General features: G+C 40.5%; 1 protein-coding gene across 19 annotated transcripts in view; it reads right to left on the bottom strand.

The window, feature by feature from the left end:
* TNRC6C (trinucleotide repeat containing adaptor 6C) overlaps positions 1 to 27,884 on the bottom strand; it is a 151,279-nt gene that overhangs the window by 100,568 nt on the left and 22,827 nt on the right. For 18 of the 19 annotated variants that reach the window (NM_001395512.1, NM_001395509.1, NM_001142640.2 and 15 more), the window contains 2 exons: positions 3,999 to 4,098; positions 3,189 to 3,210 (listed from right to left, as the gene is read on the bottom strand). Coding sequence is in view for 16 of the 19 variants with exons in the window: in NM_001395509.1 (NP_001382438.1) it covers positions 3,189 to 3,210; positions 3,999 to 4,061 (85 nt within the window). In the remaining 3 variants the exon portion in view is untranslated. Of the gene's footprint in view, positions 1 to 3,188; positions 3,211 to 3,998; positions 4,099 to 27,884 lie in introns of those variants that run through there. The other variant, NM_018996.3, reaches the window with a different exon arrangement.

The following is a 27,884-nucleotide window of genomic DNA, read 5'->3' as shown; positions in this document are numbered from 1 at the left end:
CTAATTTTCAAATTTGTTGGGGGAGGGTAGGAAAGCATGCTACATATTATATTAAGTTATTCAAAAAACATATATTTCCAGTTAGCTTCAGTTCGGCATTAGTCTTTTAAATAAGAATTCATAGTTCAAGTTTGATGGTTATAGCCAGATGCAAACATTTTTTTAAGTATAATTAATGCTATAATGGAGACTCATCTATTAAGAACGGATTAGACTAGTTAATATTCTCCAGGAGAAGGTAGAGGAGTATCATAGATGAGCATGTCATATATTCTAAAAAGTTCCTTGAAAATGTTTAAAACAAATCCAAATTTAAAGCATTTCTATTATTGAGAAAATTAAGTCAAATATAATGCTAAATAATTGGGGCATGGCTTTACGAATGCTACTAGTTGAGTGGTGTGTAATATTGCAGAGTAAGGGAATTTCTAATTGATTTGGTCTAGTTTGAGCTAATTATCAAAACCAAAATTATTCAAACTTCTACAATGTTGATTGATTCAGTATATTATGCAATCTAATTTATAACTGCAGCTTCTCTCTTAAGAGTATCCAACTCTCGGACTCTCTCAAATTGCTAAACACTTTCCTATATTCAAACAACTCAGGGCCTTGAGACTTCTGGGTGCTGCCTTGTGGCAAATGTGGCCCCTGCCCTCATAGACACACAATCTGGAGCAGGGGAGGGAAGTCAAAATGCTAGAATGTTAGGAAAGCATCAATTTTATGTGTGAACACTAATACTAGTACTATAACATGTATCATAGGTACAGTCAGGCCAACCTGTGTCACCCGACAAAAGTGTCCAGTCAGAAAGTTGGAACCAATATTTCTCAGGCAATGAATTTTGGTTTGAACCAGTAATAATGAAGAGTCTGAGAAAAACGTAAACCTTGATGCTGCTAATATTCATCAATGAATTACCTAGCAGTACTGTTAGATTATTTATAATTCAAAAAGCATTTTTTGTTTGGAAAGACATTAATTATTACTACAACCCATTCTAAGGCTAGTTAGTAGTTACTGATAAACTGTACCCAAAGGAACAGTATTTTAGAGGATATAGAAGGAGAAGAGAAAAATCCAGTAGAGTTTGGAGTTAGCAATGAAAATTCTCAACAGAGGCCAGGTGCGGTGGCTCACGCCTGTAATCCCAGCACTTTGGCAGGCCGAGGTGGGGGGGAATCATTTGAGGTCAGGAGTTCGAGACCAACCTGGCCAACATGGTGAAACCCTGTCTCTACTAAAAATACAAAAAATTAGCTGGGTGTGGCCATGCGTGCCTGTAACCCCAGCTTATGGGGTGGGGGTGGGGTGATGCTGAGGCAGGAGAACCACTTGAACCTGAGGGGTGGAGGTTGCAGTGAGCCGAGATCATGCCACTGTACTCCACCCAGCCTGGGCGATAGAGCAAGACTCCATCTCAAAAAAAAAAAAAATAAATAAATAAATAAATAAAAGAAAATTCTCATCAGAACAGTAATAGAAAATGATAGCTCTGCGTAAAGTGGTGGGACAATGTAATTCACAATCACTGTTCAGTAATAAGCAATTTGTTACTACTTGAGTAGAAAACAGTGACAATGATGAAGAATATAGCTGGTACTAAACCAGACAGAAAAATTCAAGAAGAAGGAAGAAGAAGAAAGAAGAAGAAGGAAGAAGGAGGAAGAAGGAAGAAGGAAGAAGAAGGAAGAAGGAAGAAGGAAGAAGAAGAAGAAGAAGAAGAAGAAGAAGAAGAAGAAGAAGAAGAAGAAGAAGAAGAAGAAGAAGAAAGAAGAAGAAGAAGAAGAAATGGATGATCCAGAACAGTTAACTCTGTATTTTGAAATGACAATAGTAAGAAACCATTGTTTTTCATTCAAGATCATAAATTCATACACAACTATGTACCATAAACCTTTTGGACCCTTCTGGAAAAGTGTTATGTAAATTCACAGTGCTTCTGAGAGTATAACAGAGAAAAATGTCCTTTTTGCTATGCTGCTTTTTAATATTCATTGAGCATTAACTCCCTCTCTTCATGTGACTCTAGTCTAGAGGTTCAGAGACCTGGACTCCCTCAAGTCTTGCCTTTACCATTAACTGGTTCTTAACCAAGAACCAGCCTCTTAATTCACACTAGGAGATTATCTGTAAACGAATTCCTTTCCTGTTCAGCTATGAAGTTCAAATGAGATAATACACATAACCTTAACTTTGAAAATTATAAAATGTCTCACAAAAGCATAGTATTAGCTGTGAGAGTGCATGTGTCTACATGTACAGTTGTGTACATGTGATGGTCCAGTGGAAAAAAACTTCAGAATAACAGTTATAGTAAACCTTTACTGAGCACCAATTATATGCTAGATACTGAGTCATTTTCCTGCATGATCTCAATTAGTCTTTTTTTTTTACATTTTATTTTGAATTGACAAATAATCGTATTAAGTCTTTGTAACAGCTTTATGAGGTAGGAACCATTCACTACCTTTCTCATTTTAAATATGAGATACTGAAGCCTAAAGAAGTGAAGTAACTTGTCCCAAATTAAACAGAGCTAGTTTATGTGACTCCTGAGTGGGTGCTCTTAACCACTGGGAAATAACTAAACATACAGGTATAAAAGGAAGAGGCTTGGAGTATGGCTTTCAGTTTGTTCATTCTGAATCTCCAGCACATCATAGGAGTTCCTGAGTAACAGTGAGAAATGCGTGTGTTTCCACCAACACCTTTTATGATAACCAGCAAATTCTGGACTTGGAGGATAAAAAGAGAAATCTTTTACATATCAATAAGCAAAGAGGGAATCCAGAAAGAATATATCTTTTTTATTATAAAGGATAGTTGGCAATGAGAAATTGGAACCTTAAAAAAATGCAGATATCCTTTGGTTGTTCTTATTCAAACTGAATCAACTTTATCAGTTCGATCCTGTTTGGTGGAAATCAAAAGAAAATTTAAAAGCATTGTTTGGAAAGCTAATATAACATTCTTCAGACATTTTTAGATTAACCAAATACCAATGAGATGCAGATGTAAAACCAGTGATAAATGAGGAATTTCACAATGAATAATAAAAAATAGTTTCAAAGGCAGGCTTAGATTCTCGTTTTTTAACCATCAATTTAAAAAAAAAAGTCATCCTGGTCATAAAAATTTTGGTACCGCCATAAATGTACCCCCCTAAATATAAATAAACTTACCTTTGGTTTTTTGATCAGCAGCCTGAAAAAAAAAAAAGAGAGAGAAAGAAAGAAAGAAACTCTTTAGGAATAATGTGTAGAATGTACACATCTATGAAAGTTTATAAGCAAACTTTTAGTATTGAAAATTTTAAAAATGAGTTTTTGCCCAGTTAATTTATTACAATTTATTAGTGGGAAAAATGTGTACATGCCATTGATTATATACCAATGTTAATCTAAAGGCAAAAAATTCTATCTGGAGCTCATTTAAACTCTATAATTTTAACAGGCTCTAATAGGTATACTGTTTAAACTACAAGATACATTAAACTAGGTAAGAACAAAGACAAATGGCATAACTTGGTATTTTAAATGCCATAAAATTCAAGCTTGACTATGAAGTTTACAGTAGGGCTTTTATTTTTAATCTTTACTAATAGGATTCGTAAAAGAACATTTGCCAAAGCTGCAAAAAAAAAATATTTCTAGCTTTTCTAATAAGATCAGTTGAATGGCCCTTCTTCATTTATTAGACATGGTTGTTCAGGACAGTTCATTTTAAGTAGAACAACATGGACACACTTCACCACCAGCAACTAAAACACAGCTTCCTTAAAACACAGCTCTAACACTTCCAGTTCCAAGTTAGACATTTACGGCTGTCACCTGTATTTATTTCACCAGTAGGATATCTATTATTCGCTAATTATAGACTTGGCATATTGATTTAAAAAGTAACAGAATGAAACCTTGTCATATAATGGCTATGATGATGCAAATGAGACACACAATGATACAAAGACAATGAAGCAGGAACTTCAGCCAAACCTTTTTCTGAGCACCTTCCTTCTTTTTCTTTTCTTCCTGCTTTTTCTTTTTCTTTTCTTCCATCAAACGTTCCTCTTCTTGTGTTTCTTGCTCTTTCTCCCTATTAAATACAAAGAAAACTAGTATAAGTTTGATGATCATGTTAAGTCAAACAATGAAAAAGCACTAGCTGCTCCAAATCTTAAGTCAGAATTTCGCATATGGTATACAGGAGGACCCTCTGAGAAGGTGCTAGAAAGGGACACTTCCCTAACAGCACTGCAGGTTGCCCTGACTTCTTCAGTAGCCGGCTGTCTCATTCATTCAGTCCACATTGTTGAACACCAACCCATCATCAGGCATTGCTGGGGATAAGGGTATGATATGGAGTAAGATACAGCTCCTACAGTCCAGCCCCTAGTCTGGTCTCGAATACCTGGGCTCAAGCGATCTCCTGCCCTGGCCTCCCAAAGTGCTGGGATTACCAGTGTGACGCACCAAGCCTGGCCATGCTTTATTTTTTCCACTTGATCTCTAGGGTTCTGAAATTTCAGGGTGATGTATCTTTTCTCCCCCATTATTTGTGCTTGGCATTTGGCTGATGCTTTCAGCTCATACCTTTCAGTTCTCTATTTTCTTGAAAACACCTTCCTTCTGTTTCTAAATAACAACATATTGAATCTCTTGGATTGATCACCTGTAACTTGTTGTTTCTCTTATGTTTTCTACTCTTTTATTGGTGCTTCTATTTTGAGGGTGCTTGATTCAACTTGATCTTCTAATCCTTCTACTGAGTTTTTTATTGTGATGTTTAAAATTGTTAACCTTCTTGTGCTCTTGAATGCTCCTTTTCCACAACACCCTGTTCTTGTTTTAGGTATGCAAAATCATCTCTATTCTTTTCTCTGAAAATCTTCTAAGTTTTCTGCATATCTTTTTTCCTTCTCTGGATGCCTCTTCCCTTAGATACTCTCTGATCTGAAAGCCTTTCCTCAACTCTGTAGTAACCCTTGGTTGTCTGTTCAGGCACTGAAATACCAATTAGGGGCTTTGTATGTATGGGATGGATTTCCTTCGCAGTGGGTTTTGCTTTAGGGATATTAGGTAGGGAACTGGCTGTTTTACCAGTCCAACCTCAAATGCCAAAACATGTAGTTTCCCCCACCTGATCACCAGGGTGCTTTATCTATAGTATTAGCTACTAGACCCTAACCACCCAGAATTGCACCACTGCTGAAATTTTAGATGCCACTATCCCGCATTCTGACCATAACTTCCTATTCTTATCACTATTTACATGGCACCTGTTCTTGATCCTCACTGAATCTTCCCATTTCCTGACTCTTCCTTTTTCTTCTAAGCTATTTTAATCACTTCTTTTCCTAGAGAGTCTACACCTCAAGTCCATCTCATATGTTCACTAATTCAATCACTGAAGAACTATACAACTAACATGTGCTATTTATTGTAGTAAGCACCAGGGACAAAAACAAGGATGGAGGGAGGTGGGGACTGATTCATTTAATAAGTATTTTCTGAAGAAAAGCTTTGTTTATTTTTGTAAACAGAGATGGCGTGCTATGTTGTCCAGGCTAGTCTCGAACTCCTGGCCTCAAGTGATCCTCCCACCTCAGCCTCCCAAAGTGCTGGGATTACAGGTGTGGGCCACCACACCCAGCCTGAACAATAGCTTTATAAGTGCTCTGGGATTATAGCAGGAAGCAAGATAAGAATACATATACTTTCAAAGATATTTACAAAAATCAGTAAAACAAATTATCGCTATTACAACAGCAACAAGTATAAAATGCAGTGAGAATTTGACAAGATGAACATCTGCATCTGCCTGGGCGCTGGCCTCCTGCAAAGGCTATTTTTCTGTTACAGTCGGGAGCCACATGTCCTGGCTTTAAATGAGATTATGAGCTTCCTCTGTCCTCTGGACTATAAGTGCCTTGGTAGGAGGACTCTTTCTCTGCGGCCCTGAGAAGAATCTGTTACTCTTCAGGGCATTTCTGGTACCAATTTCTGGTATATAATCTCAGCTGAAATTTACAGTGGAGAAAATCTGTAAGTTTTCCTTTTAAGGAAAACTTTATTTTCTGATATGATCAAGTAGTATTTAAAAAGTTACTGTCTACCTTGCACAGTGAAATTATAAACTTGGATTTGAAAAGTGTTTTCACCTATTAAAAGAAAAAAAAAACAAATGTATCAATTAAATGGAGAGTCAATTTGTATTTTTTCTAAGTTGTAAAATAAATTTATAAGTCAAGAAGCAAGGAGAATAAAGAAAAGGAATGGCCAGACTGGGAAAATTTTACTTTTTAATCACAGAACTTTTTCTTTTTAAAATTACGTTTAAATATACATGATCAACATACATTTGTAAATATAATCTTATCATGCTTCCCCCCAGGACAATATTTGCTTTCCTGTTTCTGACATGCTTGGCATCCCTTATCTACTTTCTCCCCCTTCCATATCCCTGTCAAATATCTCCTCCCCCCATGACCCACGTTAAAACCACCTAGATTCATATCTTTGTTTTTGTCCCTGCTCGTGTAACTGTATAAAAACATATATACTTAAACATTTTTACAAAGATTTTATTGGATCACTGTTGGTATAACTGGGATTATGTTATAGAAACTTTTTTGCAACTTGCTTTTCTCATTCAATACTTGCAGGGAAGGAGGATCTCCCTTCTCTCTCCCTCCCCCTACTGAGATGTCCAATCTGTTATTTCTAATGGCTCCATAATGTACCATGGTGTGAATGTTATCATATTATTCAGTCATTCTTCTATTCATACATCTTCACCTCCTTTCCAGTATACCGCCACTGCAAAGAACTCCAGCTGTCCTATCCAGCTCTGCTGAAGAGAAAAGCATCCCTTCGATTGGTGTTTCAGCTTATGTTTCAGTAGCAACGGCAACTAGGTAAGGAGGAAATCTGATATGGGCTCAACTGCTGGGCCCAGAGCAAGTTTGAAGGGCCAAATTGGATATAAATTACCTATACCTCATATGGTATGGTGAGGTATACTATAGTGGATCCCTCTGTACTGAGTTTTATTAGGAAGAAAACATTTTTTAATAACTTGGGTTTTCCCTTTGTTTCTTTCATTCTCAAATAATTTAGCAATCACAAGATTAGGAGGCTCTGGGTAGAAAAAGGAGCAACACTCATATTTTGGAGGCAGCTAGGAGGAGGAAAGGGTGAAAAGATTTCCCACAAATGGGCCTCTGTGGGTATCATTTCGGTGTTCCTAGTTAAACTGTAGATTTTCCCAGAGAAACAATAATTTATTTTTGTTTCAGAGGTTCTGATGGAGAAAGAGAAATAATGATTCAAAAGGTGAAATTATGTAGGTAGACTGAGAATCCAGCCACTTCATGCAAAACAATTCTGGATGAAAAATGTTACAAATTACCAGTCTTTTTGTTAGTTGACTACTTCCTATATTTGTAAAAGAAGAAAATTCAATAAAAGAGGGCAGGGGCCTGTTTTTGTCTTTGAGGTTTAGTTATCAGAAATTGTAAATGTTTCTCGTCCTTAGTTTCACCTACAAAGAACACCAGAGACCATACTCTGAAGTTATACTGGTTGGACTCCAATGCCATGTCATCAAAATATTCACTAATTTGTGTGTGTGTGGGGGGGGGGGGGCGGAGGGAGAAAGAGAGACAGAGAGTGTGTGTGTTACATGCCACTATTTTGAAACTGACTAATTCAATTAGAATTTCCTTTCAGTGTTTATGTTAGGAAGGGCTGGTAAAATGTTATCAGACAAAATTAAAAAGAGAAGGGGACGGAACTGGTAGGCTATGCAGTTGTCATAGAAATAGTTATGGTCTTAATTTATTCAACATGTATTTGACTATCTGCTATGTGCAGGAAGTATTTGCTAGACTTTTGTGGGCAGTATGAGAAGGATAAGACAAAATAGTCTCAGCCTTGAGCATAAAATCTAAAAGGAAAGACAAGGTAAAACTTTAATTATATTTAATACTCTATATAGACTATGGAAAGAAACAGAATAGAGAGTATGCTTGAGATTTAGAGTCACAAGGACTGGGTTCTAAAGTGAAATAAAGTCATTGGTATAGAGAAGGTCCAAAGCCTGTAAGCCAGCATATTGGATGGACTGCCTCTAAGAATGCTTAAGTCACTCAGCATGACACCTGGACTTGGGGTGGAAAAGGCGACTCATTGCCAAATGGCTCTGACCAACAGGACCAGAAGTTGTGAAGAAGACCTGTGCTTGACAGACTCTATGGTCTTCTGATTTCCACACTTTTGTATAATCCCTTCCTGTGGAGTATGAGAGAGACCAGCGACTTGCTTCTAGCCATTGAAATATGGCAAAGGTGTATGTTGTCACTCCCTGGCTGTGTTACGTAAGACTCCAACTTTCTAGCAGACTGGCTTTAGAGTCTCCCTCTTCCCTGCTGGCTTTGAAGAAACAAGCTGTCATGAATCCTACTGCTGCAAGGAACGGCATTCAGCCAGCAGCCTGAGGAAGCCTGGATACCAATCGCTACCCAGCAGAGCCTCCAGATGAAAACAGCTCCTGGCCTTGACTGCACAGCTTTGCAGAGGGCCCAGGTAAGTACAGCCTCCTGAACCCATGGAAACCATGCAATGGATGTGCACTGCTTTAAGCCACTACATTTAGTGGTATTTGTTACGCAGCATAGCAAACTAAACCAGGTAGTGATGGAGTCAGGCCTTCTGGGTCTGGGCAAGATGGATTATGCCAGCTACAGCCTCTCTCCTGCCAATTACAACAACAACAACAACAACGAAACTGGACAAAGTATAATATAAACACAAACACATAAATAATGAAAAGTAACAAAAGTAGGTGGTTTGGGAAGAGGAGTTAAAATGTAGGGAAGGCAATCTGTGTGGGGGTGACTTTCTCATTTCCTTTTCTCAAACCTTTGCCCAGGGAGTGGGCCCCAATCACAGCCATGCTGTAGCAGGCATGGCACTGACACCTACAACCAAGAGAAACCCATCTTTCGCAGCAGAGGACTAAAGAAAGGAGCACCTGTGAGCTGGACGTATCCCAGGAGAGTCAGGGATCCCAGAGAGAAATCAGCTGGAAAAGGGAATCTCCCAATTCTGTGTACAAACCTTCACCATTTTGGGCTCACCTTTGAGTTATGCATTTATGGGGCAGACTCAAAACAGCAGAACAAAGGCTGTGAGATCTGAACTACGATGTCAACACCCCCCTGCCCCAAGCCTCAGACTAACTCCTACATGTGGGCCAGGCCCAAAGCAGCATAGTGAGAGCCTAGTACTGAGCTGACACTGGAAGCCTTGAACCTACCCAGGCTGATTGCCTGCTAAAACAAAAACAAAACAACAAACCAGTGTTTTCTAGAAGAGTCTGATAGTACTAAAAGTCTATATGACATACTCAAAACGTCCAGGATAAAATCCAAAATATCTCCTCATACAAAGAACCAGACTATGTGGCCAACTGTCAGGGCGAAAGACAACAGACATCAATGGCCAAATGACCCAAGTTTTGGAATTATCAGACAATGGCTTTAAAGCAGTTATTATAACTATGCTCCAGGAGGCAAATAAAAATACACTTGAGTAAACAAATAAAAGTTTAGAACTAAAAAACTAAACCATCTGAATTTAAAACTTCATTGGATAGGCTCAAGAGAAGAATGGACATGAAAGAGGAAAGAGTACGTGAACTTAACAGAGAAAAATTACTGAATTTGGAAAACAAAGAGACTGAAAAAAATGAACAGTACCTCGGGGACCTGAAGGATAATACTAAAAGACCCAACATTCATTTCACTGGAGGCCCAGAGGTGGAGAAGGAAGATCAGTGAAGAAAAAAATATTTGAAGAAATAGTGGTGAAAAACTTCCCATATTTGGTGATATACATAAATTTATAAGTCAAAAAGCTCTGTGAATACCAAACAAGATAAACTCAAAGAAAACTATACTTGGATATAACGTATACTAAATGTAAGCAGCCAAACTCAAAAGACTATGTCACGTAGGGTCCACTTATATAACAGTCTTGAAAAGGCAAAATTGTAGAAACTGAAAATAGACCAGCAACTGTCGGTGGGAGGAAGGGTCTGGCCACAAAGGGGCAGTGCAAGGGAGTTGTTTTGTTGGGCGACAGAATTATTCTGCATCTTCACGTGATGATGGTTATATGGTTGTATGTGTTTGTTAAAACTCACGTAACTACACACCACAGAGTGAATGGTACTGCAAATAAACTTTAAAAAAAGTGAATAAAAGGAATGACAGGAAACAAAATTTAAAAAAATTATAAAATGGTTGTCGGCCAGGCGCAGTGGCTCACGCCTGTAATCCCAGCACGTTGGGAGGCCGAGGTGGGTGGATCACGAGGTCAGGACATCGAGACCATCCTGGCTAACACGGTGAAACCCCGTCTCTACTAAAAATACAAAAAATTAGCCAGGCGCGGTGGCAGGTGCCTGTAGTCCCAGCTACTCGGGAGGCTGAGGCAGGAGTGGCATGAACCCAGGAGGCGGAGCTTGCAGTGAGCTGAGATCGCGCCACTGCACTCCAGCCTGGGTGACAGAGCGAGACTCCATCTCAAAAAAATAAAAAAAAAAAACAACGTTATAAATGGTTATGGTGAAAAGGGTTCAGGATAATGTTGAATCCTTCCCTCATGCCTCCGCTCCACCCTGATTCCTGGCCTGATGAGAAGTGGTTTCAATGAAGTGCAGACAGTATGTGTTGGGGGCATTGAGGAGGGTGCAGAGCTAAAGATAAAGGTCTTTGTTAACCAGAGGACCATGCACCACAAGGCAGGGGGAAAAGATCTGGAGAAAAGGATGAGGAAACTTCAGAGCAGCACTGGGATTTGATTACTAGTTAGGAAGAGATGACAGCAGGGACCTATACTTCGGAAGGGTGGTGAAGAATCACGGAGATCGTAAGAGAGGTATGACAAAATCAGCTGGTCTCAGGTATTTCAAAGGAACCCTGATATTATTTTCATTTTAGAGTTAATACAGACTTCAGCCCCAGGATTTAATTCTCGAGACTCACTATCATGGCTCAAACAAAACAAGACAAAGCCCCGCAGCCCAGTATGGAGTTACCGCAGCCTGAACTGACCACGCTTCTTAAGAAACGCGTCTCTTGGCCTCTCACCTTTTCAGCATCTTATGGTGCTTCTTGTCTAGCCACTGACACAGGTATTCCACCTCCTTGCTTCACCAATGTCTTTCTATATTATCTTCTTCCATTTGGCTTTTTATCACAGAACAAGTAATGCTTCTCATTTTGGTTGGCTGTCTCTGTGAAATAAGGTTGATGAACTGTCTGTTACTCTGCCACTCAGCTTCCTTTCCTCCTCTCACTGGTATCTGTATCCTGATTTTCCTCTCACCCACAATCTGTGGACTTCTAGGGGCAGTGGCTCCAGGGATCCATTTTGTGTCTGACTAATCGAAGGGCACAGCATCCCCTGGGCCACAGTGCTCAGATTCAGGGATGACCCTGGATGTGAACCAAACAGAATCAGAGGGCTGGAAGTTACTGCAACCATCTTTCAACCAGAGAGAGCCAAAAAATGAAGCCAACACCAAAGAAGGGAACTAAGAAATGGAGAGAAAAACTAAGTGTCTGTGAGGTATGCCCTCTTGAGTTCAGGAATAAGTTGTTTTTGCAGCCTGGTATCTCAGTGCTTTGCCGTCCCCTGACCAAGGGGTGAGCATGAGACTCACAGTAGGCCAATCAAGACATATCTTGGAATAGGAACTCTGAATTGAAGTGGCAGACACCTGGAGTGGATTCACCGCACTGACTGTGCCCTACAAAACCTGCCATCAGTGCCTGCTACCTGGATTCTCTAGGCTGCACGGGTTGTGTCCTAGTTTTCCAGCTTGTCCTTCAATTTTGTCATCTACCTCACTTCCTTCCAAATGTTCCTCTTTTTTTTCTCCTTAAATTTGTACAGTTGCTTCCCACTGTCTGTAACCAAGGAATCTTGATAATGTAGTTTATCAACAATCTATTTATTTAAACCTCGGCTTACTCAGTAAGCACTGACTGGCTGCAGCATTATTTGATTACGATTTGTCTTAACTAAGTAGGTTCAGTAAACACTTTTACCACTATAAAAATTACTTTAGTATTGCCATATTAACATGTCCATTACAAATATGGGAGGATTGTTGTTTGTTTTTGAGACAGGGTCTCACTCTTTCTTCCAGGTTAAAGTGCAGTGGTATGATCACAGCTCACTGCAGCCTCGAACTCCTGGGCTCAAGCAACCCTCCCACCTCAGAATCTTGTGTAGCTGGGACTACAGGCACAGATCACCATGCCTGGCTAATTTTTAAATTTTTTGTGGAGACAGTGTCTTGCTGTGTTGCCCATGCTAGAAGTATGGGAGTTTTAAGTACCACGTTGTGAAAACCTTTTCTTGATTTCTGAGTTTAAAGTCACCTCAAATTAAGTCAGAAAATGACAGTATAATTTTACTAGCACTCCACTTTCAGTCAACTATATAATGACACGTGTGTGTGTGTGTGTGTACTTTAAATGTGCTAAAGTAACAGAAGAAAATCTCCAATCAGTCTCTCAGATACAGTAGTCCTTGCTGGTACATCCTGGCCTATGTGTTACAGAGTGGTTATTAATAATGCTTGGGATTTCATTGTTTGCAAGAAATCTTAGGAATATGTATTCTGTAACCACTGATAAGCATAATGCTTTTCCCAAAAAACTACTTAGGAGTTTGGAGGTGGGGATTTATTGCCTCTCAGTGCCAAACTCTGCTTTTTGCCTGCTCTGTGAAAATGGATCTGTGACCTTTAACTATTTTTCCTTTGCCAGCTGGCATGATGTTCAGCTTTTTCAGTACAGGGCACTAGAGACATAGCAGGAGAAGAGTTCTGCCTCCTGGCTAGAGGGCTCCCTGGCAGGATCCTGCAGGCACACTCCAGCCATGTCGCCACCCCTGCACACACAGTGCCTCTGGTGAGATGCCTTCCCACGAACTGCTTTCAAGTTCCGTCAACACAGCATCATAGTGACTTCTCTGCCACCCCGTGAGCCATGGCTGTGATCTCTCACTGGATGTTCCACCTCAGGCTGGGGGCAGGGGTCTCCTCCTTATATCTGCTATTCCTGAATCCTCTAAGGCTTTCTTTATTCTGACTAGCCAATCCCTCATTATTCTAATCCCATTACAGTTAACAATTCTTGACAGTCACCTTTCCCTGTTCACATAACTGTATGGTTTCTCTCTCTTGGCTGATAGAGGAGCCCATAAATTAGAGCTTATTTCAATCCTATCAATAAACTGGAGACTTTTAAATACTGTCACACCAATCAATCAATAAAATTCACAGATGTGCCTAAATGAAAACATTACATCAAAGTATAAAACAACAAGCTGTATTTAACCAATAGCACAAAGACCTGAAATATCAACCCTGACAGATGGAGTGAAATAATTATTTTTGCTTGAATTTGGCACTTGCCTGTTGTTTTGTTTTTGTTTTTTTTTTAAACTTCATGGTATTTCTGTGTTCTGAAACTTGTGGCATATTTGGGCAAGTTTAGAAAAGGTTCTCCTTCATAATTACAAAAAAGAAAGGACAAAGTCCCAGCACCATATAAGCGTTGGTCTGTCACTGAAGTGATGAAACGGAGCCTGGGGCAGTTATCAATATAACAACTACATGAGAACTGACTGCAGATGATCCCCAGGGTGGCTTTCTATTCAAAGGTTTTGCAATTTTGTGAACTAAAAGGACTGTTAACTGTGTGGATTCAGTTTCAGGAGCCATTAAACTAACTTATGTTCAAAGGTGGATTTTAATTTGGGAGAGCAGGTGAGCATACAAGACCTGGGCAGAAAGTCCGATGACAATCTGCACAAGAGAAAAATCAAATATAAAAAGAGATGATACCACCATCCACCCAGTCCCTTGATCCAGAAACATCTGTGAAGCCCAGGGCTTGCATGTGAGAATAACAGGAGTTTCAGGGGTTTACACTGGAGTAATAAGCTGATAAAGGACATGAATGTCTGCCTAAATAGTTTCTTTTTTATTTTTTGAGACAGTCTCAATCTGTCACCCAGGCTGGAGTGCAATGGCACAATCTCGGTGCACTGCAACCTTCGCCTCCTGGGTTCAAGCGATTCTCCTGCCTCAGCTTCCTGAGTAGCTGGGATTACAGGCATGCACCACAATGCCCGGCTAATTTTTGTATTTTCAGTAGAGACGGGGTTTCACCATGTTGACCAGGTTGGGCTCAAACGCCTGACCTCAGGTGATCTGCCCACCTCAGCCTCCTACAGTGCTGGAATTTCAGGCGGGAGACACGGTGCCCAGCCAATAGTTTCTATAATGAAACAAAATAGAAAAAAAAGTGACTGATTATATTGCTGCAGGAAACAACCCCCACAGGTACCAAGAAGCTTGTCAATATTTCACATTAAAAATGTGAAATGTAAAAACTTAAATTTCATAAAATGAAGAAAATTTACCTGAAAAATATCAATTAACAGAAAAACATTTTAATTTCCTGTTTTCAAACACGCAACAGGTTCAGATGCTGCCCACACCCTGCAAAAGTTTAGACAGAGATCCTAAGGGAACTACCTCATAAGAAAAAAAAAGGTTCTAATTAAGTTTAGTCTTTAGTCATTCATTAAATAAACACAAACCAGTATACTGATTACTGGAGCAAACTGAGATCACATTTGAGACTGTGAGCTGCATAGTCCCATACTTTGTATACTAACAAGTATTTATTAGTTATAGCTCGTTGTTTCTGTCCCTTAAACAACTTCCTGGAAATTACTATCTTACATCAAAAACTAAAATTCAAAGCATAAAATTGGTATGAACTGTAAATCTAATACTATGTTCATATACCAATCTCAAGAAGCAAATATTTCCTATTACTCTCATAAAGTCAATGTACTGCTAATTGCCACCTTTTGGCTTTCTGGTTTCTTTTAAAATAAAAAAAAGTGATAGGGCCGCACGCGGTGGCTCACGCCTGTAATCCCAGCACTTTGGGAGGCAGAGGCGGGTGGATTACCTGAGGTCAGGAATTCGAGACCAGCCTGGCCATCATGGTAAAACCCCGTCTCTACTAAATATACAAAAATTAGCTGGGCATGATGGCGGGTGTAATCCCAGCTACTCAGGAAGCTGAGGCAGGAGAATCGCTTGAACCCAGGAGGCGGAGGTTGCAGTGAGCCAAGTTCGTGCCACTGCACTCCAGCCTGGGCAACAGAGTGAGACTCCATCTCAAAAAAAAAATAAAAATAAAATAAGTGTAGAGTTTACCTCCTCCAAGACTTTAATGGAACCACATCTACTAATGGATTAACACGTACTCAGAGGTAACCTAAAATTTGCCACGTTATTTTACTATTTGATTCAATTCCTCTCTCTGTCCTTTACGGATTCTCATGAACCATAAGAACACCCACCTGTTCTACAAGGGAAGAAAAAGTTTCCCTAGCATTCAGGTCTAAAAGTAAGTTATTTTAGTGGGTACCTCACACAGGCGACGTAGTCATGCACTAGACAGCTTCTTTTTTGCGCTAGCATGTGTGTGCCAGGGTAGGCTTTATTAAATCATCTTCTGCAGCCTCTTGACAGCCAAAAAGCATGACGGGAAAACTCAAGGAATTTGCAAAAAGTCAGCAATTATCTGGGGGGCCAAGGCAACACAGTCCAAGTGTGAACGTTCCCAGTGGTTTTGCTTAATCTTTTTTTTTTTTTTTTTTTTTGAGACGGAGTCTCGCTCTGTCGCCCAGGCTGGAGTGCAGTGGCGCGATCTCGACTCACTGCAAGCTCCGCCTCCCGGGTTCACGCCATTCTCCTGCCTCAGCCTCCTGTGTAGCTGGGACTACAGGCACGCGCCACCATGCCCGGCTAATTTTTGTATTTTTAGTAGAGACGGGGTTTCACCGTGTTAGCCAGGATGGTCTCGATCTCCTGACCTCGTGATCCGCCCGTCTCGGCCTCCCAAAGTGCTGGGATTACAGGCGTGAGCCACCGCGCCCGGCCGGTTTTGCTTAATCTTAAGATAAAACTTAGAAAATCAAACAATCCTCCATAAATACCGAGTTCCAACTGCAAAGATACTAGGGCAGCAGACAGTGTGAAGTGACAGTCTTTGGAAAAACTAATGGTAGCAAGAGCTGTCATTTACTCAGCACTGGGCTCGGAAGGTCTTTCAAATAGATGACTTCATTCGCTCCTCAAATCGATCTTGTTGAGACAGGTATCACCTGCATCTTCAAGGAGAGGATCAGAGGATGAAGCTCAGAGGACCTCTGCGTACAGACACAGACAGTAAGTGAGAGAGCCACAGAGCTGTCGTCATTCAACTGAGGTCGGACTGAGTTTCAAGCATACGCTGCATCCATACCACGCTGTATCCCTAAAGAGCATATATTCTTCACTGCGGTCCAAAAGTGACAGCCGTATGCTTCAAACTTACAATGAACTGATAGTAAGGCTGACCTCATTTTTTGGAAATTGAAGAGGATAATCAAAACAATTTCTTATATATATATCAGTTAGAGTAAAAGCGAAGCTGCTATAATAAAGAGACCCCAAAATACAACATGCTCAAGATGTTTCTCTCCTGCAGTCCAGAGAGGCTGGCCAAGCATCCTTGTTCAAAGTTTGTTTTATTCACTAGAGGAAGGAAAAGAGGAATTGAAGAGCAAATTATTTCCTTTTTGGTTCATGCCCTGGAAGTTTACGTATTATTTCTGTTCACATTCAAGTGACCACAACTTGCCCACATCTAGACACAAGGAAGGCTGGGGAAAATGTCTCTAAACGTGCCCATCTAAAACTTCTTTCAAAATGAAGATATGGGGAGAACGCATTCAGGGGGTTAGTTGACCATCTCTGGAACCAGTGGATGGCTGCCCACCTCCACACATAGATAAAAAATAATTTTTCTAAAACAAAACAGATACACATACAAATTTGGGTTTGTGTGTGACTTGAACAAACAATACATACATCAAGCCCCTGAGATTTGACTCTACAGGAATATGATGAAAATGATTTCAGCCAGAATTTCTTCAAGGGATCAAGATATCATCAGTTACCTGCTATAGCTACAGAAAAATCCTATTAACACTTGTACAGAATAACGAGCAACATACATCCCTGGTAACCCTTACAGAATGAATTTGTTATAAAATACGAACTTTTATACCTAATCTACCTTCGAATATAAGATGCACCATTATTTTATGCATCACTAAGAAACAAAAATGCTGCCAATTATACCATGATATATAGGCCATTGACTGTAAGATGCATGTCAATTTCAGAGATGTTAAAAATGGGAAAAATGTGCTTCTTAGAATAAATGAAATACAGCGTGCCCCTGAAGTAACAAATCAAACTGATTGACCCTATGAAATTACTGAGTAAAAACCAATTAGATAATGGAAGACAAATTGCCATAGTTGCTAGCAGGCCATTCTTTATGGTGATAATATAGATAAACATTATACTGAGGCCATACCTACACTTAATGAATTTTTTAAAACCTAATTCTATGGGAAAGACAGACAATTTCCTTCATAATACATTAATTACAGCATGCTAATAAGAAGTGCAGGGTGCTATGAGAGCACTTAAGAGGAAGGATTCTGGCTGGTCAGGAGGTCACAGATTTCCTGCGAAAGTGAGCTAAGTTCTGAAGGAGACCTGGTGGCACAACAGGGGACAACACGCATGAAAGTTCTACAGTGGGAAGGCACACAGGATGTTTGAGAAACGGCAAGATGATGGGGGGCCTAAAGGCTGCAGAGCAATGAAAGAAATGGCTACACCCAGTCTGGTGGGGAAGACTTAGGTTAAATTTTTTTGTCTTTATCTTCAGAGCAATGAGAAGCCAATGAAGAATTTTAAGCAAGGGAGTAACAATCAGTTATTGATGAGATCATTCTGGCTCCTATGTGGAATAGATTACAAGAAGGTAAGAGTGGACTGGTGGAAACCAATGCGTAGGCTACTGCAGTCAATATAAGAGTTTAGACTTGGTAGTTTAGATCTGGGGATGCAAAGCAGGCTTGAACACCATTCAGAAGACAAAATGAACAGAAGTGGGTGATGAATTGGATATGGGTATAAGGGAGAGGGAGGTGTCAAGAACAATCCGTAGGCTTCTCACCAGTGTGACTAAGTGTATGGTGGTCCGTTCACTAAGATAAACACTGGAGAAGGACACCTCGCGTTTGAGATGCTTGAAACATTAAACTGGGGAAGGGAGCTGAATGTAAAATTCCAGAGTTCACAGGAAAGATCCAGACTGGAGAAAAATTTCAGGAGATGTTAATGCAGAAATATAAATCAAAGTGAGGGTTATAGCTGAGATCAGGTAGGAAGGGAGTTTGAGAGTAAACAGGAAAGAGGGCCTGAGATGGGGGCTTAAGGAACAACAGCATATAAAGATCACGCCCAAGGGGATGATTCACTCATTCAAACATCTGTCCATTATTTGGGCATCATTTATTAATAACTGGCCACACAATGTGCCAGAGTTGATTTTAGGTATAAGGATATCCACTGACAAGATACGTAAGATCCCTATTATCAAGAGCTTACAGTTAGTGGGTAAACAAATACAAACACAGGTAAATAAACAAAGTAATTTCAGTTTTTCATAAGTAATTTCCTAAGTACTATGAAGAAAATAAAGTTGGCATTGCAACTCAAATTCCATGACTGGCACTGATTAGCAGGTGAAGAGATTTCCCAAATGATGAATTAACTACTGAGCAAGTCCCAGACAAAGTACAACCTTCCCTGAATGTATATGACAGTTGCTTTTCAGAGTTTCCAGAAACTCAGCATATATTACAACAGCACAAAAAATTCTATACATGTAAAATAGGTTCTAAGCTTAAGTAAATTTTTCACCCAAATAATATCCAGAGCGAAATTCAGAAGTCATAACAGATGTACTAATAGTCTTACTTGCATGGAAGTAGGTCCAGGCACAGAATACCTAGGATCTCTGGCTCCTACCCACTAAATGCCATTGTGCCCAACTCGAATCACATGACATCCCTAAACAAAAGTCCATCCTTCCAAAGGTCTGCCAAGGGGCTGGTCCCTCCCTTCTTCAGAACTGCCACTTTAAGCCAAGAAAGTAACATTGTGTTAAGTGACACAAATTCCAAGAAATTCAGATGCTCTGAGGTCTACATACTCATGACTTCTAGTTGTAGATACTTCCACCCGGTGAAAATTCAATCTTTCATTCAATACATACTTATTAAGAGTGTACTATATGTGCCACATGATGTTCTAGGTCCCTGCTTTCGTGGAGCTTACATTTTAGAAAATGGCAGTAAACACAACTACTTGAAATGAAGATGATCCAGAATGTGGCTCTTACATTTTAAATCTATACACCCTTGCATCTCTCAGGTAAAAGTACACAAAGTCTCCTTGAACATTAATGTTATTTTCCCCACTAACTGTTCTTCATTTCTAGACACATGTACCATAACACAGAATTTAAACATTCAGCACCCAAAGAATGATGTTCAACACTGAAAGAAACAACTGCATAGTTTCAAATTCCACTGAAGCAGTTTTAAAATTTGAAAAACTGTTTGAAATACAAATAATAGCCCCTGGTGGTAAAAATGCTAATTATAACCAAACTTTTGTGGACTCTATGCTCAGATAAAAGAAGAGAAAAGCAAAAATGGAAGCTGTGAGTTTTTAACGGGAGGAATCATTAAAGTACAGGAATAATCTTCTGTGAGAACAGATTCACAGATGGGCAGATGAAGAGAAGAAATTCTGATGCTGGGAAGAAGATGCAATGGAAAAATAAATAGCTGGAAAATGTGTGTGTGTGTGTATAAAGAGATAGCGTCTCACTCTGCCACCCAGGCTGGAGTGCAGTGGTGCTATCAGAGTTCACTCGACCTCCTGGGCTCAAGTGACTCTCCCACCTCAGCCTCCTGAGTAGCTGGGACCACAGGCTACACCACACCCAGCTAAGTTTTTTAGTTTTTTAATTTTTTGTAGAGACAAGGTCTCATATTTTTTGAGACGGAGTCTCACCCTGTTGCCCAGGCTGGTCTCAAACTTCTGGCCTAAAGCAATCCTCCTGCCTTGGCCTCCCAAAGTGCTGGAATTACAGGCATGAGCCACTGTGCCTGGCCATAGCTGATAAATATTTCTAATTGGCACAGTACTGCTGGTACACAGTTGACCACCATCTTAATTTACACTCTTAAAAAATGCTTACTTCAGGCCGGGCACGGTGGCTCACATCTATAATCCCAGCACTTTGAGAGGCCAAGGCGGGCGGATAACTTGAGGTCAGGAGTTCGAGACCAGCCTGACCAACACGGTGAAACCCCATCTCTACTAAAAATATAAAAATTAGCCAGGCATGGTGGTGTATGCCTGTAATCCCAGCTACTTGGGAGGGTGAAGCAGGAGAATCGCTTGAACCCGGGAGGCAGAGGTTGCGGTGAGCTGAGATGGTGCTCGCGCCACTGCACTCCAGCCTGGGCGACAGAGAGAGACTCTGTCTCCAAAAAACAAACAAACAACAAAAAAACTCCACAAATACAATTTGTAATGACAACAAAATATTTTGTTGATGGACCATAATTTACTTAATTCCCCGGTTGCTTATTTAGGTGTTTCCATTTGACACTGTTTTTATCACTAATCCCCTTTGTTTATATTTGTTCTGTATTGGTGATTATTCCAGTTTGTTCTGTATTTGTGATTGTCTTAGGAGAGATTTCCAGAAACAGACTTCCTAAAACAAAAGGGTATAATTAAGGGTTTCATTATGAAACTGCTTCCAAAAGCATTTTAATAATCTGTAGTTTTATTAGCTGAATACAAGTGTGCTTATTTCACAACAATCTCATAAGCACTGAGTATTATAATTTTTAATCCTTGCTAATCTGATAAAGTATTTCAGTGGCCTTAATTTACAATTCTTTGACTATTAATGAACATATTTCCCCATATTTGTTATCCCACATGAATTTCATTTTCTGTACATTGCCTGTCTATATATCCTGGCCCGTCTCTTCAGTTCTTAGTGGGCTTCTTCATAATGAACTTATTAAGTTTATACATGTTAAATACATTAACCTTTAATCATGTTGCTGTAAACACTTCCCCCAGTTTTTGTCTGCCTTTTGTTTTTGGCATTCACCAAGTTTTAAACGCTAATCAAATTCTACCAAAAATTTTCATGAGATTTTACTTGTATTTGTAGGAACTATTCAAATTAGCTCTTTTTATTCTCTAGATTTCTTAAAATTTTTTCTATTATACAGATGATACTTCATTTAAAGTTTATTTTGGTATGTGGTAGACACTAGGATCTACCTTCTTTTCTGTAACTAACAGTGCCTGGGAGTCATTTAGTGCACGAGGACTAAATGATCCTTCCTGTCTCTGCTCATTTGTGACAATGGCTCTTCATACATCAAATTCATGTATAACAGATGGGCCTGAAGACCATTCTGCTCCATTAATAACTGCACGCTTCTGCCACAATGACACTATTTAAATTATTCCAGTTTCATAAAATTTTGGTTATCTGCTACCACTAGGTTCCTTTCATTATTTTTTTAAAGTATTTATTCTTTTATCCTTCCAGATAAAATTTACAACCATATTGTCATGCTCCAAAAGAAAAATACATTTTTTAAAAATTAGAATTGCTTTAAACATACAAATTAACTGAAAGCTCTGTAAGAATTAATTTTCCTATTTGAGAACATCTCTCCATTTTTTCCCTCTTTCAGTGAAATTGTCATTTCTTCTTCTTCTTTTTTTTTTTTTTTGAGATGGAGTTTCACTCTTGTTGTCCAGGCTGGAGTGCAATGGCGCGATCTCGGCTCACCACAACCTGTCTCCCGCGTTCAAACGATTCTCCTGCCTCAGCCTCCCAAATGGCTGGGATTACAGGCATGTGCCACCATGCCTGGCTAATTTTGTATTTTTAATAGAGACGAGGTTTCTCCATGTTGGTCAGGATGGTCTCAAACTCCCGACCTCGGGTGATCCGCCCACCTCGGCCTTCCAAGTGCTGGGATTACAGGTGTGAGCCACTGTGCCCAGCCCATTTCTTCATATTTATTTCCTGTACATGTTAAGCTCATGTCTAGGTATTTTATAATTTTTTTAAAATTGATTTTTATGTATTAGATCAAATATCCTGTGGATTGCCTGAATGGTTACTGATGGTAAGTATCTAGTCCAGTTACTGACTTATCTATACTGCATCAAATAATTTTTTAGCTTATCATCTTGGGTTTTCTGGGTATACAAGCTGTAAATAACAACCATTTTTCATGGCTTAATTTCTATTTCCTGTTTTGGTAGTCAGAATTCTAAGATTCCTCCTAAGATTCCTGGCCCCTGGGATACACATACCTTCCCCTAGTTAATCAAACACGAATGTAGGTACTATTTGCAGGGACTGTGCAGACGTTAATTCAAATCCCAAATCAGTTGACCTTAAGACAGAGAGACTATCCATCCAAGTAGGCCCGATTAACCCTTTAAATTTGGGTTTAGAGGTCAGAGACAGAGGACGTCAGAAGTTCAAAGTATGAGACAGATTCAACACAGTTGCTGGTTTTTTTTTTTTTTTGAGACGGAGTCTCGCTCTGTTGCCCAGGCTGGAGTGCAGTGGCGCGATCTCGGCTCACTGCAACCTCTGCCTCCAGGGTTCATGCCATTCTCCTGCCTCAGCCTCCCGAGTAGCTGGGACTACAGGCGCCCGCCACCACACCTGGCTAATTTTTTTTTTTTTTTGTATTTTTAGTAGAGACGGGGTTTCACCGTGTTAGGCAGATGGTCTCGATCTCCTGACCTCATGATCCGCCCGCCTCGGCCTTCCAAAGTGCTGGGATTACAGGCGTGAGCCACTGCGCCCAGCCTCACAGTTGCTGTTTTAAAGATGGAGGCTACAAGGCAAGGAACATGGGTAGCCTAGGAATTGAGAACTCCTCCTCTGACAGCTAGCAAGGAAACAAGGACCTCAGTCCTATAACCAAAAGAACTATGAAGGACTTATGAAGTAACACTGATCATGCTTTAAACCTCTTAAGTTTGTGGTAATTTGTTACGCAAAAACAGAAAATGAATACACCTGTCTTATTTAACTGGCGTAGCTTTAGACAGCAACGTTAAAGATTAAATAGTAATGTTGTTAGTAAGTCTTAGGGAATAGTCAGGAGCCAGAAACCATACCAATAACTAGAACAGGATAGAGTTAATATGAAGATGTGTTAACTAGTAAAAGGTGGTTATGTTTTTAGAGGGGTAAAAATAGTTCCTTATGGGGTCCAGAGAGAGCAAATGCAGAAAGTAGATACTTACTATAATAGCTCCAAGCTAAAAGAGTGTGTGTGTGTGTGTGTGCGTATAAGAGGCTAAGAACTCAGAGGAAGATCCCTCCACGCAGGACTGGAGAGGGCATGGCTGCCACAGAACACACAGCTAGAGAGTAGCAGAAAGACCTAGAAGAGGGAACAGGGAAGAGGTGGTCCACAGGAGGGCCCTACTGGGAGGCAGAGAAACTTCCTTGAGGGTACAGGTGGGCTGAGGCTGCTTCATAGGCACCACTGAGGTGAGCACTGCCAGGGCTCTCCTATGCCAGCCTGCTGACTGCTGCACCAAAAGCACACGCACTGAAGGAGGGAGTGGAGAGATACCCCCTACTTCTTTTTTTTGAGATAGAATCTAGCTCTGACATTTAGGCTGGGGTGCAGTGGTGCAACCACAGCTCACTGCAGCCTCAATCAAGCGATCCTCCCACCTTAGCCTCTGGAGCAGCTGACACTAATGCATGCGCCACCACACGTGGCTGTTTTTTTTTTTGTTTTTTTTTTTTAAGTATTGATGAGGTCTTGCTATGTTGCCCAGTCTGGCCTCAAACTCCTGGGCTCAAGCAATCCTGCCTCGGTTTCCCAAAATGCTGGGATTACAGGCGTGAGCCACCGTGCCTGGCTGGGAAGACCCTTTTCTCCTCTATTCCTCCTTACATTGTGTCTCCAGTGCTTCCATTGGCAAAGCCTAAAGTGAAGCCAGCTCACCAAAGGGAAATGTCTACAGTGCCCATCTCCTGTATCAAAAGCAGGGCATAAATGGATGTGGATTTACATAAACTGGGAACTGAGCAACAATAAATAATTGGCACAGTCCACCCCTTTGGCTACTTGGCTTCCATACACACCCTCTATATTTGAAGTATCAAAACAACTCTGATTCCACATGAAGGTAACATGCAGCTACCTTCCTATAAATGAACATGTTCTCACCTTCTCCCCAAAATGAGGAGCTGCAGTCCGAACAGACATTGTATTAATCACTGGCTATATTAATTACTCCTTAAAATTCAGTTAACAGTCCCACTAAATATTCTGTTCTCTAAAGATCAAATTAATTAACTTCCAGTAATTATATATAAAATAAGGGGGGAAAAAGCAAAGTTAATACATATAAACATACAGACACAAGAAAAAATATGCTAAGTTACTACAATCCTTGCTTCTGCACCTGGTTATGAACGCATGGATGGTGTCCCTAACTTTCTTCTCTCACTATGCATCCAACATGTCTTGTGACCTCAATTAGAACCTCAGCCAGTCAGGGTTCTCAACATGACAGGGTGACCTAAACCTTCATTCCTGAAACATGTGACTCCTCAACAGACCTGCCTTTTCTTGAGTACTGCAGTTTTTCATTTTGTCTCTAATATGGTGCAAAGAAGTACTAAGAGACACTCTAGAGAATCCTGAGTTACAAACATCCTCCTCCCTGCCCCCATTGTATAGCATTACCCCATTTTGCCTTGGTAATCAGAATTAAGCACTCTAGTCAGGAGAGTGACCTCTTTTCCTACCTGTTGGTTCAGTGGCATCAACAGTCCCAAATGGGTTATAGCCTCATCTTTCAATTCAATGGAACCTTTCTGTGTCCTCTGGTAGTAACATTCCCTATTGGAAAATAAGAACTCCAAATCCCAGCAGAACTCAGTTGCTAGAATGGGAAGCAGAAATTCTAGGGGTGGGTTATAAGGTATAACAGTAAGAGACTGCTTTCAGGGTTTTACCATTAAGTATAATATGAAAGTTGGTCTGTGAATTTACGCCATATTCAACAAATATCCTGCTCTCCCTAATTTGTGTATAATAGAAGAAATAGGGACACTGAATCTATCTTTTTGTCCTTTTGGTTCTGTTGGCTTTTGTCTTTTAAAGCTCTGTTATTAGGTGCATACATATTTCTTGGTGGATTGACTCATTTTTCATTACAAACTTTCCTTGTTTCTAGGGATGTCTTGCCTTAAAGTCCATTTTGTCTGTTACTACTTAAATTAACCATCTTACTACTTGTTTTGAACTTGTCCTTTTTTTTGACATGAAATCTTGCTCCGTCACCCAGGCTGGAGTGCAGTGGCACAATCTCGGCTCACTGCAACCTCTGCCTCCTAGATTTAAACAATTCTCCTGCCTTAGCCTCCCGAGTAGCTGGGACTATGGGCATGGGCCACCACACCCAGCTGATTTTTTATTTTTAGTAGAGATGGGGTTTCACCATGTTGGCCAGGCTGGTCTTGGACTCCTGACCTCAGGTGATCTGCCCGCCTCAGCCTCCCATAGTGCTGGGACTACAGGCATGAGCCACCGCGCCTGGCCTTGTTCCTCCTATTCTATGATCCTTTTTTCTTTTTTGTCTTTTTTTGGACAGTAAATGGTTTTTATTATTTTATTTCCTTTCTCCTTCTCTATTAGCTTGGTAGCTATAAATTCTCTTTCTATCCTTTTAGTGATTACTCTAGAGTTAATCAACTCAAGTTCTATGAAAGAATTATGTCCTGCAGAAAACATTCTGAGTGACTATTTTTTTTTTCAGTTCTTACAAGGCATTCTAAATGTAAAGAAGTTAATTCATAATATATAATAGATGCCTTAGCACAGATGTCTTAGTTCTGGCTGCTACTAACAAAAATACCATAGACCGGGTGGCTCACACAACAAACATTTCTCATAGTTCTAGAGGCTGGGTTCTATAGACCCTCCAAGACCAGGGTTCCATCATGGTCAAGTTCTGGTGAAGACCCTCTTCCTGGCTTGCAGATGGCATTCTTCTTGCTGTGTCCCCATATGGCAGAGAGTAGACAGAAAGAAGCAAGAACTCTGTGTCTCTAATCCCATTTGTGAGGGTTCCACCTTCACGAACTAAATACCTCCCAAAGGCCCCACCTCCTAACACCATCACGCTGGAGGTTAGAATTTCAACATACAAATCTTTGGGGAACACACACACTCAGTCCACAATACCTAGGGGTTGTCAAATCTCTTCTATCAAGGGCTAGACAATAAATGTAAGCTTTGTGGACCACAATGTCTCTGTAGCAGCTACTCAATTCTGGCGGTGCAGCATGAATCCAGCCATAGACAATATGTAAACTAACGGGCATAGCGGTGTTCCACCAATAAAACATTATTTACTAAAATAGGTGGCAGGCCAGATTTGACCCACAGGTTGAAGTTTGCTGTCTTTGAACATTATGATGTGATTCTCTCACCAAATGTGATTGAGAAGGACTACCCTAGATATTACTATCTCTGACTCATTAAAATCTAATATAAATTACAAAGACCTGAGGACATTTAAACTATATTTATCTTTGTAATATTGTGAAATATATATTTGGTCTTCGATCCTGCTTCCTGGCATATAATTCCTAAAATCCTTCCAAACTCCAAAGTAATGTCTTTTTGTATGCTAATGAGTTGACTGATAGCTGGCAGCCTCTTGTTAGCTTCAGGATGGGGGCTGGTCTCCATAAACACCAAGGCAGGATTAGAAGGTTAGGACTTTCAGCCCTACCCTCCAATCTCCAGGGAGGGTAGAGGGGCTGAAGGTTAAGTTGATCACCAATGGCCAATGGCTTAATCAATGATGCCTTCATAATGAAGTTCTCATAAAAACCCAAAAGGGGCTAGGAGCAGTGGCTCCCAGCACTTTGGGAGGCCAAGGTGGGACTAGTTTGGCCAACACAGTGGGACCCCCACCTCTACAAAATTTTTTTTAAAAAATTAGCCTAGCATGATGGTACGTGCCTGGAGTCCCAGCTACTCAGGAGGCTGAGGTGGGAGGATGGCTTGAGTCCAGGAGGTTGAGGCTGCAGTGAGCCGTAACTGCACCACTGCACTCCAGCCTGGACAATAGAGTGAGACTGCCTCCAAAACCAAAAAACCAAAAAACATAACAAAACAAAACAAACCCAAAAGGATTGGGTTTGGAGAGCTTCCAAATGCCCGAGCAAATGGAGATGCCAGGAGGGCGGTGCAACAGAGAGGGCATGGAAGCACCCACCCCCCATACCTTGTTCTAGGCATTTCTTCATCTGTTTCCTTCATAATATCCTTTGTAATAACCTGGTAAACGTAATTATTTCCCTGAGTTCTGTGAGCCACTCTAGCAAATTAACTGAACCCAAAGAGGGGTGGTGGGAATCCCAACTTGAAGCTAGTGGGTCAGAAGTTCTGGAGGCCCAGACTTGCAACTGGTGTCTCAAGGAGGGACAGTCCTGGAGACTGAGTCTTCAACCTGTGAGATCTGAGTTATCTCCAGGTAGATAATGTTGAAATGGAATTGGAGGGTACCCACCTGATATCCACAGCAGAACTCCTTGCTTGTTTGATGTGTGAGAAGAAACCCTCACACATTTGCTCACAGAAGTCTTCTGTGTTGAGACCGACCCAGCTGGTGTCCACTGCAGAACTGACTGCTTGCTTGGCACGTGGGGAGAAATCCACACATTTGGTCAAAGAAGTCCTCTGTGATGATCACTG

The sequence above is a fragment of the Homo sapiens genome, chromosome 17, assembly GCF_000001405.40.
Source record: "Homo sapiens chromosome 17, GRCh38.p14 Primary Assembly".
Classification (NCBI taxonomy): domain Eukaryota; kingdom Metazoa; phylum Chordata; class Mammalia; order Primates; family Hominidae; genus Homo; species Homo sapiens.
This window is presented reverse-complemented; position numbering and strand designations above follow the sequence as displayed.